The 5,946-nt window shown below is 37.7% G+C and overlaps 1 pseudogene; it reads left to right on the top strand.

The window, feature by feature from the left end:
* HSPA8P1 (heat shock protein family A (Hsp70) member 8 pseudogene 1) lies at nucleotides 3,697-5,946 on the top strand (annotated as a pseudogene).

Here is a 5,946-nt window from a genome sequence, read left to right as displayed (position 1 = left end):
AGACAGGAAGTGGTTACAATAAGCCTTGGGCAAGAACCAGTGATGTTCTGACCCAGAACAGTCATAGTGGTGGTGGCCACAGGGCTGCCTGTGTCACTCCACCTCTGGCTCCAGGTGGTTCACAGCAGATAGAGAGATCTCATTTGTTTGGGAGAAAGAAAGGGAAGAAAACAAGTCTCTGCCTGGTAATTCAGAGGATTCTTCTGGATCTTGTCCAAGACCATCAAGGCAATACCTCTATGAGTCTGCAAGAATCACAGTGTTACTGGGTTTGGGGTGCTGCCAAATTCAGATAGAATTTACATCACAACATGCAAGTCATTTCAAATATCTGAAAAGCCTCCCCACTAAGGGTGGGTACAAACAAGTTGCGACTGAGAAGACTAAAAGAAATACCTAACTCTTCAATGTACAGAGACAGAGGAATATCTACAACTATCAAGACAATTCAGGAAACCATGACCTTACCAAATGAGGTACATAAGGCACCAGGGACCAATCCTGGAGAAACAAGAGATATGTGACCTTTCAGATAGAGAATTCAAAATAACTGTGTTGAGAAAATTCAAAGAAATTCAAGAAAACACACAGAAGGAATTCAGAATTCTGTCACTCAAATTTAACAAAGCATCAAAATAATTTGGAAGAATCAAGAAGAAATACTGAAGAAATGGAAGTAGCATAATTAAGAATGCATTATAGTCTTTTAATAGCAGAATTGATCAGGCAGAGGAAAGAATTAGTGGGAATGAAAATAGGCTATCTGAAAATACACAGGTAGAGGAGACAAAAGAAAAAAGAATAAAAAACAATGAGCACATCTACAGGATCTAGAAAATAGCCTCAAAATATAAATTAAAGAGTTATTGGCCTAAAAGATGAGGTAGAGAAAGAGATAGTGGTAGAAAATTTATACAATGGGATAATAACAGAGAACATCCCAAACCTAGAGAAAGATATCAATATCCAAGTACAAGAAGGTTATAAAACACAAAGCAGATTTAACCCAAAGAAGACTACCTCTAGATATTTAATAATTAAACACCCAAAGGTCAAGAATTTTAAAAGGATCCTAAAATTGGCAAGAGAAAAGAAACAACATAAAATTGAGCTCCAAAACGTCTGGCAACAGACTTTTCAGTGGAAACCTTTTAGGTCAGGAGAGAGTGGCATGACATATTTCAAATGCTAAAGAAAAAAAATTTGCCCTAGAATAGTATATACAGCAAAATTATCATTCAAATATGAAAGAGAAATAAATACTTTCCAAAACAAACAAAAGGTGACAGATTTCATCAACATCAGACCTGTCCTACAAGAAATGTAAAAGGGAGTACTTCAATCAGAAAGAGAGGAAAATTAATGAGCAATAAGAAATCATCTGAAAGTATAAAACTCACTGGCAATAGTAAGTGTACAGAAAAACACAAAATACTGTAACACTGTAACTGCGGTGTGTAAACTACTCTCATCTTATGTAGAAAGACTAAACAATGAACCATGGCAGGAGAATCACTTGAACCCGGGAGGCAGAGGTTGCAGTGAGCTGAGGTCATACCACTGCACTCCAGCCTGGGCGACAGAGTGAGACTCCATTTCAAATAATAATAATAATAATAATAACCACAAAAAACTTTACAGACATAGAGCAATAAGATATAAATGAAAACTACAAAAAGTTAAAAAGTATGGGAATGAAGTTACGACGTAGAGCCTTTATCAGTTGTCTTTTTGCTTGTTTCCTTGTTTATGCAAAGTGTTAAGTTTTCATTAGCTTAAAATAATGGGTTATAAGATTGTGTTTACAAGCCGCATCGTAATCTGAAACCAAAAAATATACAACACACACAAAGTTAAAAGCATGAAACTAATTTATATCACCAGAGAAAATCACTTTCACTAAAAGGAAGACAGGAAGAAAAGAAAGAAGAAAGAGAAGACCACAAAACAACCAGAAAACAACAAAATGGCAAAAGTAAGTCTTGACTAATCAATAATAACATTGAATGTAACTAGAATAAACACTAAAATCAAAAGACATAGAGTGATGGAATGGATTAAAAACAAAACCAATCAATCTGTTCCCTACAAGAAACACAATTCACCTATAAAGACACACATAGCATAAAAATAAAGAGATGCAAAAAGATATTCCATGCCAATGAAAATAAACAAAGAGCAGGAGTTGTTATACTTATATCAGAAAAATTAGATTTCAAGATAAAACCTGTTTAAAAAGCCAAAAAGGTCACTATATAATGATAAAGATGTCAATTCAGTGAAAGGATATAACAATTTTAAATATATATGCACCCAACCCTGGAGCACGCAGATATATAAAGAAAATATTATTAGAGCTAATGAGAGAGACAGACCCCAATACAATAATAGCTGCATAATTCAACACCCCATTTTCAACACTGGACAGATCGCCCAGACAAAAAATCAACTAAGAAAAATCGGACTTAATCTGCATTATAGACCAAATGGACCTAATAGATATGTAAGGAACTTTTGATCCAACAGCTGCAGAATACACATTCTTTTCCTCAGCACATGGATCATTCTCAAGTAGAGAACACGTTAGGTCACAAAATTTGTCTTCAAACATTAAAAAAATGGAAAAAATATGAAGCATCTTCTCTGATCAGAATGAAATAAAACTAGAAATCAATAACAAGAGGAACCTTAGAAACTATAAAAATACATGGAAAGTAAATGATATGCTCCTGAATGACCAGGGTGTCAATGAAGAAATTACGAAAAAAAATTAAAAATTTCTTGAAAACAATGATGATGGAAACGCAACAGACCAAAAGCTATGGGATACAACAAAAGCAGGACTCAGAGGGAAGTTTATAGCTATAATTGCTTACATCAAAAAAGAAAAAAACCTTTAAATAAACAACCTAATGGTCTATCTTAAAGAACGAGGACAGCAAGAGTGAACCAAACCCAAAACCAGTAGAAGAAAAGAAATATTAAAGATTAGAGCAAAAATATATGAAATTTTAAAGAAGAAAACAATACAAAAGGACAATGACACAGAATTTGCTTTTTTGGAAAGTTAAACAAAATTGATAAATCTTTAGGTAGACTAAGAAAAGAGAGAAGACCCAAATAAATAGAATCAGAGATAAAACAAGGAGACATTACAACTGATACCACAGACATTCAAAGGATCACTAATGGCTCCTATAAGTAAGTATATGCCAAAAAATTGGAAAATCTAGAGGAAATGGAAACATTTCTAGACAGATACAACCTACCAAGACTGAATCATGAAGAAATTTAAAATGCGAGCAGACCAATAACAAGTAACAAGATCAAAGTCACGATAAAAAGACTCCCAGTAAAGAAAAGTCTGGAACTCAAGAGCTTTACTGCTGAATTCTACCAAACATTTAAAGAAGAACTAATACCAATCCTACTCAAACTATTCTGAAATATAGAGGAAAGGAATACTTCCAAACTCATTCTACGAGGCCAGTATTACCCTGATAACAAGCTACATCAAAAAGAAAACACACACACACACATCAGCCAATATCTCTGATGAGATTGAAAGCAAAAAAATGAATAAAGCATAAAGTTGGTTCTTAGAAAAAATAAAGAAAATGCATAGCCCAGTAACTAGATTAACCTAGAAAAGAAGAGAGAAGATTCAAATAAGTTCAATTAGAAATGAAACTGTAGCTCATTGAGCTTGCCTGCAGCTCTCAGGGTTCCTGTGACTTTCTTCATCGTTGGAGCCAGGCCTACATGCCAGCAACCATGTCGAAGGGACCTGCAGTTGGTATTGATCTTGGCACCACATACTCTTGTGTGGGTGTTTTCCATCAGGGAAAAGTAGAGATAATTGCCAATGATCAGGGAAACTGAACCATTCCAAGCTATGTCACCTTTATGGACACTGAACGATTGATCAGTGATGCCTCAAAGAATCAAGTTGCAATGAACCCCACCAACGCGGTTTTTGATGCCAAACGTCTGTTTGGACACAGATTTGATGATGCTGTTGTCCAGTCTGCTATGAAGCATTGGCCCTTCATGGTGGTGAATGATGCTGGCAGGCCTAAGGTCCAAGTAGAATACAAGGGAGAGACCAAAAGCTTCTATCCAGAGGATGTGTCCTCTATGGTTCTGACAAAGATGAAGGAAATTGCAGAAGCCTACCTTGGGAAGACTGTTACCAATGCTGTGGTCACAGTGCCGGCTTACTTTAATGACTCAGTGTCAGGCTAACAAAGATGCTGGAACTATTGCTGGTCTCAATGTACTTAGAATTATTAATGAGCCAACTGCTGCTGCTATTGCTTACAGCTTAGACAAAAAGGTTAGAGCAGAAAGAAACATGCTGATCTTTGACCTGGGAAGTGGCATTTTTGATGTGTCAATCCTCACTATTGAGGATGGAATCTTTGAGGCCAAATCTACAGCCAGAGACACCCACTTGGTGGAGAAGATTTTGACAACCGAATGGTCAACCATTTTATTGCTGAGTACAAGCGCAAGCATAAGAAGGACATCAGTGAGAACAAGAGAGCTGTAAGACGCCTCCGTACTGCTTGTGAACGTGCTAAGAGTACTGTCTCTTCCAGCACCCATGCCAGTACTGAGATCGATTCTCTCTCTGAAGGAATCGACATCTATACCTCCAGTACCTGTGCCTCATTTGAAGAATTGAATGCTGACCTGTTCCTTAGCACCCTGGACCCGGTAGAGAAAGCCCTTCGAGATGCCAAACTAGACAAGTCACAGATTCATGATATTGCCCTGGTTGGTGGTTCTACTCATATCCCCAAGATTCAGAAGCTTCTCCAAGACTTCTTCCATGGAAAATAACTGAATAAGAGCATCAACCCTGATGAAGCTGTTGCTTATGGTGCAGCTGTCCAAGCAGCCATCCTGTCTGGAGACAAGTCTGAAAATGTTCAAGATTTGCTGCTCTTGGATGTCACTCCTCTTTCCCTTGGTATTGAAACTGCTGGTAGAGTCATAACTGACCTCATCAAACATAATACTACCATTCCTACCAAGCAGACACAGACCTTCACTACCTATTCTGACAACCAGCCTGGTGTGCTTATTCAGCTTTATGAAGGTGAGCATACCATGACCAAGGACGACAACCTGCTTGACAAGTTTGAACTCACAGGCATACCTCCTGCACCCCGAGGTGTTCCTCAGATTGAAGTCACTTTTGACACTAATTCCAATGGCATCCTCAATGTTTCTGCTGTGGACAAGAGTACAAGAAAAAAGAACAAGATTACTATCACTAATGACAAGGGCCATTTGAGCAAGGAAGACATTGAATATATGGTCCAGGAAGCTGAGAAGTACAAAGCTGAAGATCAGAAGCAGAGGGAAAGTGTCATCCAAGAACTCACTTGATTCCTGTGAATTCAACATGAAAGCAACTCTCAAAGATGAGAAACTTCCAGGCAAGATTAACGATGAGGACAAACACAAGATTCTGCACAAGTATAATGAAATTATCAACTGGCTCGATAAGAATCAGACTGCCGAGAAGGAAGAATTTGAACATCAGCAGAAAGAGCTGAAGAAAGTCTGAAACCCCATCATTACCAAGCTGTACCAGAGTGCAGGAGGCATGCCAGGAGGAATGCCTGGGGGATTCCCTGGTGGTGGAGCTCCTCCCTCTGGTGGTGCTTCCTCAGGGCCCACCATTGAAGAGGTTGATTAAGCCAACCCAAGTATAGATGTAGCATTGTTCCACACATTTAAAACATTGAAGGACCTAAATTTGTAGCAAATTCTGTGGCAGTTTTTAAAAGTTCAGCTGCTATAGTAAGTTACTGGGCATTCCTAATGCTTGAATATGGAACATATGCACAGGGGAAGGATATAACATTGCACTTTATAAACACTATTGTACATGGAAAAATGCAATGTCTTAAATAAAACTATTTAAAATTGGCA

The sequence above is a fragment of the Homo sapiens genome, chromosome X, assembly GCF_000001405.40.
Source record: "Homo sapiens chromosome X, GRCh38.p14 Primary Assembly".
Lineage (NCBI taxonomy): Eukaryota > Metazoa > Chordata > Mammalia > Primates > Hominidae > Homo > Homo sapiens.
Note: the sequence above shows the minus strand (reverse complement) of the source record. Positions and strands in the feature narration are given on the sequence as shown.